Here is a 17,202-nt window from a genome sequence, read left to right as displayed (position 1 = left end):
AGATAGAAATAATAGACTCCTAAAAGTGATGATTTCAGTACCATAGCAATATGCTCTGGATATTTGGAAGAGGCATGATTTCAAATATTTTAGTGGTAAATCAGAGAAAATGTGGCACTGAGAAGTGACTTACTGTAGTGGCTACCAGGTCAGGTTCTGAAAGCGGACTGGCTCCCTTCAAACCCTGGCTCTACTTACTGGCTGCACTACCTTGGGCAAATTACTTGATCTCCCTGGGCCTCTGAGTTCTCATCCATAAAACAAAGTTAACAATCTTTAACAATCGTGGCATAGGGAAACCATAAAAACTAAATGAGAGGCCGGGCATGGTGGCTCATGCCTGTAATCCCAGCACTTTGGGAGGTCAATGCAGGTGGATCACTTGAGGCCAGGAGTTCGAGACCGGCCTGGCCAACATAGCAAAACCCTGTCTCTACTGAAAGTACAAAAATTAGGTGGGTATGGTGGTTCATGACTGTAATCCTAGCTACACAGGAGGCTGAGGAGCAAGAATCACCTGAACCCGGGAGGTGAAGGTTGCAGTGAGCTGAGATCGCACCACTGCACTCCAGGCTGGGTGACAGAGAGAAGCCCTGTCTCAAATAAATAAATAAATAATAAAAATAAATGAGTTAACTTACGTAAATATAAATGTAACTTATGTCCAGACCATGTGTTTGGTTTTGTGATTTCAGAAAGCATGTCACTTCAGCACTGGGACTCATTTTAACCTTGCTTTTCTTGAGAATTTTCTGTTACATATGAGGTATTCTTGGGGACTTGGGTAAAATGCACTGTGTAAAATTATTTCACATCAATCAGTGTTAAAAAGCAAGAAACTATTTTGTAGATAAATAAATTTAACCATATAAGAAATGATAGCTATTTTGAATTAAAATAAGCTTTTTAATTTGATGTAGAATTAGACTTGTTAAATTTTACATGTGTCTTTTAATGGGATTTAATTCCATTTTCATTTCTGTACTTTAGCATTCTGTAGCTCTGGCAGTTTATATAAGCAGGACCCCCAATTAAAATGTGCATCATTGGTGATCATGAATGTAGGAAGAGAAGATGCACATCCTATGGCATTTTTTCCTGATAAAGTTATTGCACACAGACCCAAGTTCTTTGAAGTTCACTTTCCTCTTTGTTGTGGAAAGAGGACCACTGGCAGAATGCCTCTACTCTCCTAGTCAAGTGCAGAGTTTGACCTGCCTTTTAGTATCCTGAAATCGTTTTCTTCAATCAGAAGTTTCATATAGAAGGGTAATTGCCATGTTTCATTAAGGCAGCTTCTTGGAGTTTTGTTGCTTTTGGACCCTCCAGAGCCCCCTGGATTCTTCTGCCTTGAGGTTAGGACTTGGTGTGTAGTCCACATGCTCTAGAGAAAGAATAACGTGGTCCTTTCTCTAATCAAAGCTCTCTGTAAGTATAAAAGAAAGCTTGGGGGCTGAAGAAAACCATGGCTTTAGAGATAAGGTACTATATAATCTTTAAGAATGAATCACCAAATGAGACAGAAAATAATCACCTCTTTCATCCGTCAGATGGGGGTTCTTTCCAATCTGTGTGTGGCTTTTACTTAAGTGATATTCTGTGAATTTCACTATACAGAATTACATATGCATATAGGGAACTCCATATTCTTTCTGAGCATAGTTTCCTAGTTGAGTGTGAAGTGTGTTTAATGAATGTCAGTATCACCTTACCTAACAGAATTCAAAGAGGGTAAAAATGTTTTGTGTGATGCTGCCAGTACCATTAAGTCAAATGTCGGGAAATATTATTCACAATGACTCACTCTGATGCATCAAGGCTAACGTGATTAGCTTAAGTGAAAGCCATTCTCAGAGAAGAAAAGAAACTTCAGAAACTCCGAATGGAAAGGGCAAGTCAGGACTCTTTCTGCCTGTTTCTATAACTTTGTCAATAGTTTCTTCATGGTCTGATCACTTTTGCTCTCTAAACTCTAGTTCTTATCTTGTTACTGTAAAGCTTCCGTTTCCTCGTCTATAAAAGGAGACATAAGAGGACATAATAGCAAATACCTTCCACAAACAAGATAATGCTTTTGGAGGATCAGCATGGTAATGATTAATAGCAATTTTTATTGTGTTGTTGTTAGGTCCTAACTACAGCAATCAAACCAAACCACCATCCCTGTTTGTTCCACTCCAGCCACAGCATCCTTCTTTCTAACCCCACCCTGACCCCACGACAAAGCAGCCACTCCTGTCTTAGAGCATCAGCTCCATCACCCACAGCAAAAGAACAGAACATCAGAGTGTACATGATGTCTTCTGAGTGGCATCACATAGAGGCCCTAAGTAATCTGGAAATGCTCAAGTTGTGATTTTTTCTGGTGTAATCGTTATGTCTTGCAGGAAGACAGAAGCCATAGATATAGCTAGTCCTGTTCTGTCACTAAGTTCTGCCTAGAATATTCTCCTCCCCACCCAGGTCTTCATCTGGCGGAATGCTTCTCAACATTGACTCTCAGCTGAAATGTCACTTCCACAGAGAGGCTTTCCCCAACCACCCTAGCTAAAGTGCCTCTTGGACCTGATCACTCTCTGTGCTATTTCCCCGAATTATGTGCTTCAGAGCAGTTGTCACTATCTGGAATTATCTTATTTGTTTATCTCCATATGTGTTTAATGTCTGTCTCTCTCCCATGATAATGCGAGCCCCACAAGTACAGAGTCCTTGTCCATCTTGTTTGTGCTATATCCTCAGTGCCAAGCACACAGTGCCCAGCACAGACAGGGCACTCAATACATCTCTGTTAAATAAATAAATGAATCAATAATTCTTATATCTTCCTTTGGGGCCATAACCCTGGCAGGCCTGAGGCATCCCCCTCATGTACAATGACAACAAAAGGTCTCCATCTCTAACCCTCCCATACAAGGATCTTAGAGGGTCTTCTCCCCTGCTGGTTGCAGTGTGTGGGCAGGAAGTCACCTAGCCAAATATGTGCCTCACCCCCATTTCATAGCATCGGGTATTTATGATATAGAAATGGTCTTTGCAATTACATATAGGAGATGTTCCTAAACTTTTGTCTTTTGGGTAACTATGCAAAAGTGATGAGTGATTCTGAGTGAGGAGAAAAATGTTCCTTGGCTAGCAGTGCTATGCAGGTTTAAAATCCCAACCTCTAGCCTCAAGAAAAGAGAGGAAAGAGAAAGGCCAAGAAGAATATCCATGAGTGAGTCGTTCATGGGCTTCTTGAACAGGCCCTTGAAAAATGCATGAAGGAGAATTAACTAAGACAACCTAAGGAAGGCTGAACAAAGCATTCTGACTTTTGGGTTGAAGTTAGCAATGAGAGGTTTACTTTTGTATTGTTGCTCTATAGTGTGCAAGAGAATCGTCATGAATGCCAAGCTTCTCAGAAATTTGAGGCTCATTCAAATTCAATATATTTTGTTAATTTGTCTTTCTCTTGTAATGTTTACCTCATTGCAGCAAAATACTAGCTACTTGATTTAGGAGGGAAAAATCATACCCACACTTTGGCACCTGAAGGAAGACAGAAATTAAATGTTCTATTTGAAAAGGATAGAACATTTGGAAATGGATACATTGAGATTATTCTGATGTTGAATTCTGATGAAAGAATACAAGATTAGAAATGGTACTGTGAAGTGAGTCTCTGTTCTGTCACAAAAAGGCTGTGATGTTTATTTAATACATTTTTCCTGGGCACCCAAGGTAAGCCAGATCTTGTTCTAGACGTCAGGAAACACCAGGATATGTGTAAAAGAAACAGTGCCAGCTCTCCTGGAGCTGACAGCCTGGTCGGGGAGACTGACAGGTTAACACTTGCAGTGTCCTGGGACTCTGTTATTAAGGGGTTTGCAGATACAGCAAAGAGAAGAGCTAACCCAAGAAGGCAGGGACTATTTCACAGAGGAGGTGTTGGAGAAACCATCATCTGTCATCTGGTGAAGGCAGCAAACTTGTGAACCTGTTTTTCCTGCCAAATGAATCAGGCAACATGAGAACACTAAATTATTTGAGGGAACGTCTGCTGACATCACTTCTGCCTTGCTCACTGCACACGCCGACCCCCTCTTTCCCAAGGCTCCAATGCCTCACCCACCCGCTAATCCCTACTCATATTTGGCGCTCTATTGAGATGTCATTTTCTGGGAGAGAGGCCTCTCCAACTCCCATGTGACAAAATGCTCTGCTCCCATGCTTTCCATAACACCCATTTTTCTCTCCGTCGGACTAATACATATGTGCTCTATATGCACCAGGCCGTGTTCTGAGTGCTTTCCACGCGTCAACTCATTCATCCCCTCCATCAGTGTATAAGGTATTATAATATTACTATCCCCACTTTACAGATGAGGAAACAGAGGTCCAAAGAAGTTAAGTAATTCACCCCAGGAGGTGACAGCCAGGATGCAAATGCAGGAATGCAATTCAGAGCCTGCCTTCTTATCACACTGTGCCTCCTCTCACAGCAGGCAAAGCTACCTGTAACGCCCTGCTCTGTCTCCAACTCTAACTGCATACTCCTCAAAGGCAGAGACCATGTCTTGCTCACAGTTACAGCCGAAATGTCTAGCCCAGGCCTGGTGCATAGTAGGCATTTGATAATAAGTATTGAATAATTTTTATTTTATTTTATTTTTAAGTTCTGGGATACAAGTGCAGGACATGCAGGTTTGTTACATGTGCCATGGTAGTTTGCTGCACCTACCAACCCATCACCTAGGTATTAAGCCCCATATATATTAGCTATTTATCCTGATGCTCTCCCTCTCCCCACCCCACTGTGGAATGATTTTTTTTTTAAAGAATGTTGGACTATCTCATGGTCTACACTATTCATCAAGGAGTCACTTCCTCTTCCTCCCAAGTAATGGATCTGCAATTGAACACAGATTTCCTGAAAGTCAGGACCAAACTCAAATTGGGACCTCTGGAATATAAACCCTGGAGAAATATCTGGGGACTTTTGGCTGAAGGCAGCTCTTTGTGAAATCCTTCTTAAGTATAACTAGCTCCAGATTGTTTCTTTTCATTAAATTTCATTTGCTAAGGTAGTTCTGTAACTGAAAGTGCTACCCACTGCCTGCCACATCCTAGATTGGGGCTTTGTTTTTGTCTCTTATTTTGGCTTGTGGTATAATTCAAGGTATAGAAGCAAATCGGATCCAACACTTGTTTTATACCATTAGCTGTTATCTGCACAACAGCTTCAAACAGTAATGGTGCAGCGTGCATTGCACTCTAGCTGCAGCGTTCTCTACTGTATGTCATGCCTCATTTTGCTCAGCTGCCTTCTTTTTCCTGCTTGATCTGTTCATTCCTGGCCTCACCAGCAGTTCAGAATATACATCCCCATCTGGAGTTAGGCATGCTCGGTATCTCCACGGGAACCTGTGGGAATTAGACTGAGTAGATGAGGTCTCTTGATTTTTTTTTTATTTGTGTGATATACCAGAGGTGATCACATTTCACAGGCACTCAGAAAATCATTCTGAACATATGGCAAAGGTAACAATATCAATAGTAAAGCAACCCTTTAGTGTTACACATAGCATTTTTGTCTGGGAATTTGGGAGAGAGGTGGCTATCATTTCAAAAAGTCAGCTTTACTGGTATATGTAAGACTTTGAAAGGGATCGATGTAAAAATGAAATGAAGAGAACACCTAAAAGATACTATTGTGAAAATAACAATAAATAGGCACCTATGGACCTGATATGGAGTGTAAATGTTTAGTCTTAGGTAGTTCTGACTAATCATAGACCATTAATTGAATGATATCATACAGATTATTAATCCTTAAAGAATTAAAATGGGTTCAGTCATTTTAGTCTCCAAACTAGGCATCGTTTATTGTTGATGTTTAAAAGTTAATTAATTAGTGTTATTTAATCATTCTCTGATACAGTAGGTGCTCTAGTGTGTTTTTTTAAAAATGGGGGCAGAGGGACACTCTTTCTTGCTGAATGAGGCTCCAACACAGACAGGATAACTGCCCAAATCTGTTCTTGTTTGCCCTGACTTTTCTCCCTTAAGTTGAGCTGACCTAGCAGTACATCATGGCCAGTGCTAAATAAAAATGAGTCCTGGATTTCAATTCCCAGTTTGCTGCAGGCCCCCATCCTTCCCTAGGGCCCTACCTGGGCCATGAATCCTTGCTTTGTTCTCAGCTTTCAGATATGATGCCTGGAACGGCTTTTCTGGCTGTCAATCTTCCATTCTTGTTTTAGGCCGAGTTTTGCATTAGCTTCCACTTGGGTCCACTTTTGGGTAACCACCCTATTTAAAACCAGCCTTAGCCTCTAGGACCCCACCTGGTCCAGCCTCCCATAAGGAGAGCATCAAGCTTACTAACTTCACTCCCAACACATGTTAGAAGTTGTAATTTTTGTTCAGCATGATTACCAAATAGTAAGAACACAAAAAAAAGATTGTGAATTCAGAAGACCAAGACTATTGAAAAGAAGGTAAAGAAGAAAGAGGATAAAGCCTTCTGCACATGAATTGGCCAACACCAAGAAGTCTTACTTGCAGAGGTTTGGCCTGATGCAGAAGATTTGTTACAGAATGTTGGTCTTCAATCAAAGGAATATTTGAGGTTCTCTAAAGATAAATTACTGTAGGGGGAAATGGAACAAATTCCCTTAGGCATCATCTTTGGTTTGGAAGAGGGAGGCTGAGGAGGTATAAATAATAGTTTCCTAGCTTTCCACAGGAAGCAAGAAATAGTGTGTGCAGGAACTGCAGTGATTCCAAACCACAAAACACCTTCATGAAGACGTTCATGTGGAATGTGCTTGTGAACTTTATTCCTCCACATAATTGATAGCTTTCCAAGTTCATCTGGCTCCAGCCCTTACTAGGCACAATTTTAATGTCTCTTGTCCTCACACTGAGCTTCCCTGAGTTTTCTGCAGCATTCTTCTGTGGCTCTCTTAAGGGTAGCTTCATATGGGGCATCATCTCAAGCATTCTTCAATGGCTTCAGCTCTTTTCAGCAGGACCATTTAGGTCCCAAGACTGTTTATTTCACAGCTAAACATGTTCATATCCAAAAGACAGGCTCATCATTTATCCAAACATCTCTGGCAGTGGGGTTTAGTAGACGTTTCCATCCCTATAGCCTTCACATGACTTTGTTATTCTTCACTCTGAGAGAATTGGATAGACTTCTCTCTTCAGTTTGCCCAAGTGATCGAGGGTGGCAGTAACCCTCTAAGTTTCTGGGGTCCTTGGGGATGTCATGCCATCACTTCAAGTGGTCTAACTTGTTCCAACATACTGGGCCTTACTGAGGACAATGATCCATGATGGATTCTCCTCTGGGATTTTTGCAAATATTGTTTTTAGTATGCATGAGTTTCCTGGGGCTGCAAACAAATGACCACAAACTTTCTAGTGCAAAACAACAGAAATGCATTGTCTCATAGTCCTGGAGGCCAGCAGTACAAGATCAAGGTGTTGGCAGGGTAGTACTCCCTCCGGAGGTTCTGGGGAGAATTCTCCCCTACCTCTTCCAGCTTCTGGGAGCTGTTGGCATTCTTTGGCTTCCAATCTTTGCCTACATGGTCACATCACCACTCTTCTTCATGTATTTGTCTTTTCTTCTGTCTGTTATAAGGACACTTATCATTGGATTTAGAGCCCACCCAAATAACACAGGATGATACTTTAATGTAATTAAGATTACATGTATTAATGTATTAATGTAACTATATCTGCCAATACCCATTTTCCATATTAGATAGCACTCACAGTGTCTGGGTATTAGACAAGGACATATTCCTTTGAAGGCCACCATTCAATCCACTATACCCTGTATTCTGATGAAAAGTCTCTACAGATAACTGACCCTCACCCCACATTATTTCCCTGTACCATGAAAATAATGCCTTCATGATGAATATCTGATAAGAGTGTTTATCAGTCAGGGTGCCAGGTAAGACATGCATCATTAGGCCTTTGCAATACCGTATTGAGTGAGCACAGCTCACTCTAGATGGTGTGTGTAAAAAGACTTTCATGAAAGGGCTATCTACAGACATGTATGTCATAGGAATAAACAAGGACTGTTGAGGCACCCAGACACTAGCAATGGGATGAGCCATTACTACTCCTATGGCCAAAGGAGCAAGAGAAGGAAAGAGTGTAACTGGAGACTCATGAGAACCGAGGAGTAGAAAAGGGGTCACTTGGCAGAAGCTGTAATCTTGGAGGGAAGTGACTACCGGTGGATACACAGTGCTAAAACAGGGAGGAGAGGGAAGATCTCTCCTCCCAACAGCTGATCTTTCTTCTGGTACCTGCCATTGGCTGAACACAAGTGGAAGCTTGCAGGCAAGGGAGCCAGTTGGCAACATGGTTAAGGATCAGCATTCCAGCACATGGAACAAGGCATTGAAAGGCAGAAAATGCTTCAGGGTAGAGGCAGGGATGGTTCAAACCAGCCCAGAAAGATAAAACATGTACATAAACAACAGATTCTAGACAAAGGAGAGAACTTCCAGCTTACAGGTGATTATATGGGTTGGTATGAGCCTGGAAATCAGGGAGGGCTTCATTGAGAAGTCTCTAGCTGAGCCTTGAAGAGGAGATAGGATCTAGAGATACAGAAATAGGAAAGGAGTATTTTGAGGCAGAATGAGCAATATCACAAAGGCCCAAAGGGCACATGGTCTATGTGGGATTGGGGGTTCATATGCAGGGAATAACTAATGGTTCTATGTGAAACATGAATGTAGGAAGAGGAAATAAGACTAGAAGGTAGGTTGGATCCTCTAGTGAAGAGCCTGAAAAACCCTGTAAGGTAGTTTGACTTTTGTTCCTGGGACAGTGGAACACCAGCATAGTTGTCCAGAAGAGGCTTTAGAGAGACTAATTCACTAGACAGAGAGCAGAGAGTATAGACCCTAATGGAAGAGAAGTACAGTGTTCATTCATGGAAGGAGTGGCTGCTGAAAGGCTTTGTCCTTTTGCTTGAACTTCCACACACCAGGTCACCCCAGGAAGCTCTTAACCACATCCATTCTCCCACTGCCTTCATTCCCTAGACTTTAAAAACCAAGTATAGGCTCAGTTAAAAATTTAAATCAACCAGAGAGTTAGTTTATCTACTACTGCCAAAACTTAAGGCACATCATTGAAAGGGCAGGAAGTACAGTGAGAAATCTAGTCACAGTAATAGACATCATGATATCACGGCCCAAACTGCCGAAAGCCTCCTGGTGCCACAACTGTGGGTTGGCTTCTCTTCTCTTGGAGTAAGATTTTTAAATTTGCCTGTTGTCTTCTCTACTCAGTAGCCACTGCTCTTTTTGGGTAGCCACCTTTCTCTCTTAGGCCAGAGTGAACCATCCCTCTTTTCAAGATTGTTTGCCTATTTTGTCTTTACAGAAGCTTAGAATTTGCAGCTTTTACTTGGCCATGTGGTCCAGATCCAAGTAAGCAAGTCTCATCAGACACTTGTACTAAAATCTGAAGCTCTCTCAATCTAGTTTCGGTTGCTGAAAATACTAGCAGAATTTCCAGAGAAGAGAAATGCGATAAAGGATAGAGAGGCTGAAATGTGCCAAGCCCTAGCCCAGATTGTTGTCAGAGAGACTTTCATGAGTGAAGACTTGCTGCAAAGCAACAGATTCCTACACAATGTCTATATTCACAGAGTAGTTTGTTGGCTTTAGAAAACCTGTTTGGGCTTGAGATAATAGTCACTTACACATATATTCCTTGTGTAGATACTACTGCCAAGGAATTATTTGGTGCATCTATTCATATAGAGGAGATAGAAATGCCTTACAATCCATTGTTGTTTCAGTTCTCTATTTTGAAAATACCATGGTTTGGTGGAGAATATTCAAATTATTATGTTCTGGGCCTTACGGGCAGTAACTCATGAGACCCAGGCTTTTAGGAAGAAGCATTTTGTAAAAGAAACATTTCTATAATGCCAATATGTATTTGGGACCATACAGGAATCTAATCTCTGAGCCTCAGATTTCTCATTTGTAACATGATCAGGATAATGTTAATACCACATTTGGAAAATAATGATAATGTCTGTTAACATGCCTTTTAAAAGATTCTAGTACCTTTTATAAGTGATAGTTTGTTATTCTTGCTATAATTTCTTGGGAATATGTCCATTTTAACTTATCTAATTAGAAATGGTGATAATTGGGTTACGAAGTCTACAGCTATCTTTCTGTCTCTTGAATTTTGGTTTTTAGACATGTGAAAAATGATGCTATGTAATTAGATTCTTCAAACATTGTCTAATTTCTTAGTTAAGGTGCTGTGGGACACACAGGTATGAGTAAAGTCCCTGTACTCCTGAGCTTTATAGCAGAGTGAGCAGATGATAGATAGATAGATACATGCATACATACATGCATACATGCATGCATACATACATACATACACACATACATAGAAACATAGATAGATATAGATGGTTGGATGATAGATTAGGTAGATAGATAGATAGATAGATAGATAGATAGATAGATAGATAGATAGTATGGATGCAGAGATAGAGACAGAGACAGAGGGATGGATGCATAGAAGAGAGATAGTTAGATGAGATAGAAATGTAGACAGATAGAGATGGAGATGGAGATTGATAGAGAGATAGAGATGGACAAAGATGGAATGCCTTTCCTTAGACTGATTTTGCTCATGAGTGGTCTTTATAAATAGGGTTTTGCTCCCTACTAATTCTGATGACAACGGCCATGTCTGTCTGTGAGGATGGAAAGTGAGTGGATCACCAAGAAGGATGGGTTTATCAGCAGCCATGCTTGACTAAGTACTTGCTGAGTAATTTTCCTCATGGAGTCTTGGCAAGAGTTGTAAAAACTTTACTAAAAGCCAATAGAAAATGGTTCCCTGAATGTTGATAAAAGGATTTTTCCCATTTTTTGTCCTAGTTAGTGAGGGCCTCATTATAGAATCTTGGAACTATAAATGAAAATTATCTAAAAGACCAGAGGACAGAGTCTAATGTTTTTACTTTATGAGTTTTTCCTGGGACACTTTTAAACAGTAACAACAACAGCAATAATAAAGAAGTTAATTCTTATTTTTTAGGCAGTAGTGACATTTGGAGGTACATAGTTCAAGCTCCTCTTTGAAAACACAGACCTGGCTTTATGACCCTAAAAATGTCTTATTTCTTTAATAGACTGTATATACATTAAAAGAAACAAATTCTAAAAGAATTAAAACTGGTTGAGACACCAAGAATAAAAGATTCTGCATTTGTTAAGACATCATAAGGTTGGGGGTTTTGTTTTTTGTGTTTAGAGACAGGGTTTCACTCTATCACCCAGGCTGGAGTATGGAAGCACAACCATAGCTCACTGCAGCTACGGTCTCACTTTCTAGAAACAATTTACCAATCTGAGCTCCCACCAGCAAAGAAGGAAAGTGTTTAAGAGTGTCACATTGTTTCCTTGACAGCTTTGAGTATTTCTACTTTTACAAATCTTTGCTGATGTTTTTATTTTACTTATTTATTTATTTTTATTTTGAGACAGATTCTCACTCTATCGCCTAGGCTGGAGTGCCGTGGCATGACAGCATGACCATAGCTCACTGTAGCCTTGACCTCCTAGGCTCAAGAGATCCTCTCATCTCAGCCAATTTGCTTTTATTTTTTCTATAAATGTATCTCATTATGTCATAACTCACTTTTATAGCAGGGAAAAAGTTAATACAAGATAAGATTTAGATATCCTCTCTCCAGCAAGACCCAGAACTTTGATTAACTCTGCCTGGAGAATAGAAGGTTTATGAAGATGCTAAGCTATCCCAATAAGACGTTGTGTACCAAATGCAATTTTAGGTTCTGTAGATGAAGTTCCAGGGAATTCCTCCCATTTATATTAACATGCATGCCAAATGGTCTTGGTTTTTGTTTGTTTGTTTGTTTGTTTTTGATATTTTATCTTGGACTTGGGGAACTTTCAGTTGTTTTCTCTGACTGAAATAATATCTAATTTGGGAACTTGTGAGACTCCAAAATAAAATCAAACACTTAAAGAAGTAAAAGTAAGAAAAGATCATAAAGAAAAATTTATGATAAATTTAACCATTGTTTCTTACAGGAACTTTTAAAATTGCAATAGTGAACCAACAAAACACAGTGAATGAATGGACAACAAAACTATGGCCACTTGTAAACACTTAGGTGCGACTCTGACATGAGATTACTCTCACCAAGAGATTAACCTCTTAGCGAGGAGCATTGAAATAATTACACAAACTATTATGGCCATGAGGAGGCTTAGAGGTCATCCCGTCAAAGATATGTAAGCTCCTTTTACTTATGGAAACTTTTCTTCAAATGAAATATTGTGTGGAAGCCCCACATGTATATAAAATAGATAAAAATGGAGCTTCTCGAGTTGAAGTAGGGGTAGGGATAATTGAGAACTCCCCTACCCCGCAAGCCTATCCTCACTTCTGCAGACAATGGGACATCATGACACACAGTTTGAGAAACACTCATCAGAACCCACCTCCTCATGTGGTTCATGTGACATCATGACAGTAGAAGCCCAAAGAGGTGGAGTGATGTACCCAAGACCACACTGTAAACAGGGAGTCAGGTTTGACTGTTGCCCATGCCTCCTTTTGGTTTCTTTCTCATGCTCCATTCTGTGTCCGTCTACTCAGTATTTGCGGGTTTATTTAGATTTTCTTGTGGAAATACTTTATATGTCTCAAATAAATGTTAAGCAAGCATTTGAGTGCCTGAGTCATATTTTTGAAACGTGTCTTCCCTTGAAGGCTCACACAACCTCTCCCCCAGGTCTCCTTGGATTTGCAAAATTACCAGTTGCCATTTTAACAAACTTGCTGACATGCCTGTCTCCTAAATTGTGACAGCATAGGAATAGGAACTGACCTTTTGAGGTGAGGCATACTCTTTACTTTTTCCCCTAGTAAAGGGTACCAAAAAATCCAGGTGTAATCTCTAACCTCATCTAGACCAGAAAGAAGGAAAGCAGCAACATCAACTGCTTCTGCTTTCCTTTCTTCCAATGCCATTCCTCATGGCCTTCTTCAAATTGAGTTGCTAGTTCATGTTAAATAACCTGCAAGCAGCTCAGCAGCTGGAGAGACCAACATTAAAGAGCCTAAATAATTGACAAACTAGACAATCAGACCCAGGATGATCAAGAATTTTTAATTGCTTTAGCAATTTGTTGTTCATCTGCTCTAAACTTTTCTCTTCAAACTCCCTATAAATGACCTTTCACATCAAACAACCCAAGAAAGATTGGAAGCGGGAGGGAGATCATCGTGTAATCATGTGATGGCCCCCACCAATTTAATCTGATTGAACAGAAACACAGTCTCTTCTCTGGGTGCGAGAGAGGCCTCCACTGTGTGTGAAACATTGGGTCACAATGCCCAGTTCGCAACATCATGACTTTGTCAGAATTCCCATCTGTTGTTGCAGCCTGCACGGTAGACCAGGAATATCATGACAGGAGGCCTGAATTAGACAGAGCCTCTCCAGAGGAACAGAACCAATAAGGTTATACATAAAGAGATTTATGATAAAGAAACTGGTTCACATGATTATGGAGGCCGAGAAGTACCAAGATCTGCAGGCTGATGGCCTGAGACTCAGGAGAGCCTATGGTGTAAATTACAGTCCTAGTCAGTCTGAAGGGAGGGGAGAGAAGACCCCAGCTAAGAGGCCAGCAGGCAGAGAGCAAACGCTCTCTTGCTCAGCCTTTTTTCTATTCAGGCCTTCAACAGATTAGATGGGGCTCACCACCACTGGGGAGAACAATCTGCTTTACTCAGTTTACAGATTCAAATGTTCAGTTAATCCAGAAACCCCTCATGGACACATCCAGAATAATGCATAGCCAAATACCTGGGCATTCTGTGGCCCACTCAAGTTGACAGATTCAATTAACCATCACAACATCTGGGGAAGGAAGAAGAGCCCCAGCAAGGCTGACTCTGAAAACTTGTCACTCCAGACACAGACTGGGGTATCTTCCCTGGTGTCCACCTGGCAGATTCCACCTTACATAGCCCATTCTGCAATCCGTCATGTCTGTAGATGCAGCCACTCTGTTGACTCTGAGACTTGACTTTTGTGTTCTTCTTAAATGAAGCCATTGCCTATATGTAAAGAAATATACCTTTTGAACACTAACATATATATAGTTTATATCAAGTTTGGGGAGATTGGAAGAGGCAAATTATGAGACACTTATGTCTCATAATAATTTGACAGGAGAAATGGCATGCAGTTGACAGCTTCTTCATTTGGTTTTAATGGCATAGTAAGAGGAAAACAGTGTCATGCACTCATTTGCAAGCAAGGTCCTAGGGCATGGAGAAGAATCAAAGGCTGATTTTTCTTTAGAACAGGTTGATTATTTGATGTCAATGGAGATTCTAACCGTTTTTCATAAGAAGCTGCTTTAGAATACAGCCTGGAGAAGTCTATCCCCCTGCAATATTTGGCAAGCAAATACAAGGCAGAAGTACTTTAATTATCATTTCTTAAAGGATTTTTGCTATCCTGATTAGTATAAGTTGGTCTCTTAAGCACATGATTTTGCAAAGATTCACTCATTTTCCAAACCAGCTTTAAGCATTCACAATTTTCCATCAACCTAGAATTTCTCCAGCCCAGGACAGACCTCAGCTCAGCAGAAAATCAGTGAGGCTTAAGTGAAAGCCAAATTAAAATAATATCTGTTGGGCATGGTGGCTCACGCCTATAATCCCAGCAGGCCAAGGTGGGAGGATCGCTTGAAGCCATGAGTTCAAGACCAGCCTGGGTAACATAATGACACCCTGTCTCTACAGAAAGAAAAAGAAAAAAAATTAGCCAGAAATGATGGTGTGAGCCTGTAGACCCAGATACTTGGGAGAGTGAGGCAAGAGGATCTCTTGAGCCTGAGTTCGAGGTTGCAATGAGCTATGATCACACCACTGCACTCCAGCTTGGATAATAGAGTGAGAAAATATATCCCTTTAATTCTGTATTACAATGTATATTTAGACAAGGATTCTCCTTACTTAGTAAACATTGGGTTTGGGGCATAAATCATCCCTAAGCCAACTTGTCAAGAATCTGTGGCAGGCAAATTTACTTCAACACCAGCTTAAATTGATAATGTAAAACAGAAACTGTAAAGTCAATAAAAAGTCTATTACGGGAAAACAGCAAAGTGTTTGGTTCTAAACCTGGATATAAGGGAAAATTAGAAAATGAAGTTGTCTGAAAGGATTATTCTGCATCCCTCCTCCTTCCCCTACCCAAATACTCACATGGGAATTGTGCTGGATTAAGTGTTATGGGCTCTTGGAAGAAAGGAGGTGCTGTCAGAATAGATGTTGTTCTTAATTTTATCCATGGCCCTTGTATATTAGACCACAGTTCATGATCCTGTTTTATAGCAGGCTGACTGCTCCCTCCTCCCAATCCCTACTCCCTTATTAAACAAAAGACTGCACGTTCTGGGAAGTGTTAGCAACTCACCCATGTCACTGTCATCCAGACAGTGCTGTTATGTGGTGGAAAGTACTCAGGGTTGGGACTTTGGAACAGCCTTGCTACTCTGGGGTGCTTGCAGCAGGGCCTGTACAAGTCCCACCCCAGCCCTGGTATCGGAGAGGCCAGCAAAAGGCAGCTGGTGGGAGAGACCTATGCAGCTCCACCCACAAATGCTACAAATGCTAAAATCTCTTCTCTTCCTCTTCCTCAACTCTTTTGATCCTCACTTTTCTCCAGCTCTCTTCTTCCAACTTACTTTTGTCTATTTCATCACCTCAAATTCATTCATTCCATAAATATTTATCAAGCACCTACTATCCAAGGCACCCAATCTTTGCCACACCTCAGACTGTCCTGCATCCTCATTTCTCTCTGAAGCTGCTCTGGACAATGTCAACTTTTGGCTGTTAAACCCGTGGTCACCTTTCCAATGCCTTCTCTACAGCATCTGGGAATGTTGACCTCTTCATCTGTCATAAAACATTCTCATGCACTGCCTTCCTTAATAACCCCCTTTCCAGGTTCCAGTCCTTCCTCTGATGCTTTCTTCTTGGACTTTTTCTTGTTCTGTGTCCTTTTTCTGTTCTTCAGTGTTGACATTTACCAGGGTTAAATTCTTACCCTCTTCTCCTTTAATCCTACATCGTTCTCTGGATTATCTCATTTCCTCTTAAGATTTCAGCTATCACTTATAATGCTGAAAACTCTGAGGGCTAAATTTTCAACCATATATCTCTTCTGAATTCCAGACACATTTAATCAACTATTTACATAATACAACCACCTGTTCCAGTTACTACAGCTGCATAACAAGTCATCCCAAAGCTTAGTGGCATAAAACACTGATCAGCAGCACAGACAGGGTACAGTGAGGACAGTTATTTCTGCTGTATGTCTGGGTCCTCAGCTGGGAAGACTTAAAGGCTGGAGTGATTTGACAGCTAGAGATTAGAATCTGTAAATGTCTCCACGCACATGTCTAGTGGTTGATGTTGGCTGTCGGCTGAGACTTCATCTATGACTCTCAGCCAGAACACCTACAAATGGCTTTTCCTCATGGCCCAGACTTCGTAGCATGGCGGCCTCAAGGTCATTGCAGTTCTTATATGGAAATTCAGGGCTCCAAAGGTGAGTATTTCAGCTAACAATGTAAAAGTTGCATCATGTTTTATGATCTAACCTCAGAAACCACTCAGTGCCACTTCCATCGCTTTATATTAGGCACAAGTGAGTCATAAGCTCACCCATACTGAAAGGCAGAAAAATCAGATTCTATCGGGTGATGGGTCAGTGGCAAGGTTGTGGAAGAGCATACAGGACAGGAGATACTGCTGCAGTCATCTTTGAAAAGTACAAACTGTCACACCCACTCCTGTCCTGTCCTTGCCACACTCATGTATATGGATGTTTCATAGTATCACATACATTCACTTTCCTTCATGCTTTTGCATATACTGTTCCTTCCAACCTTTTTTCTGCCTTCTAATGCAGAATCACCACCTATTTATCTCTCAAGCCTCATCTCAGATAACATTTCATTCAGATCCAAGATTGCCCTTAGGAGAAACATGGGTGTCTACCACTTCATTTGTTTTTCTCCCCATTGGTCCTACTTGCTCACCAACAGCTGGATGGGGCCAGGGTGGACATCACATGCC

The 17,202-nt window shown here is 40.9% G+C and overlaps 1 annotated feature.

Moving 5' to 3' along the window:
* Positions 1,443–2,642: an enhancer, noted in NCBI's record as "CDK7 strongly-dependent group 2 enhancer chr11:110703043-110704242 (GRCh37/hg19 assembly coordinates)". NCBI's record gives its function as "activates an origin of replication core promoter dependent on BRD2, BRD4, P300/CBP, MED14 and CDK7 cofactors, with strong dependence on CDK7, by STARR-seq in HCT116 cells {active_cell/tissue: HCT116}" and the evidence as "EXISTENCE:reporter gene assay evidence [ECO:0000049][PMID:35650434]".

This window comes from Homo sapiens, chromosome 11 (genome assembly GCF_000001405.40).
Source record: "Homo sapiens chromosome 11, GRCh38.p14 Primary Assembly".
Classification (NCBI taxonomy): domain Eukaryota; kingdom Metazoa; phylum Chordata; class Mammalia; order Primates; family Hominidae; genus Homo; species Homo sapiens.
Note: the sequence above shows the minus strand (reverse complement) of the source record. Positions and strands in the feature narration are given on the sequence as shown.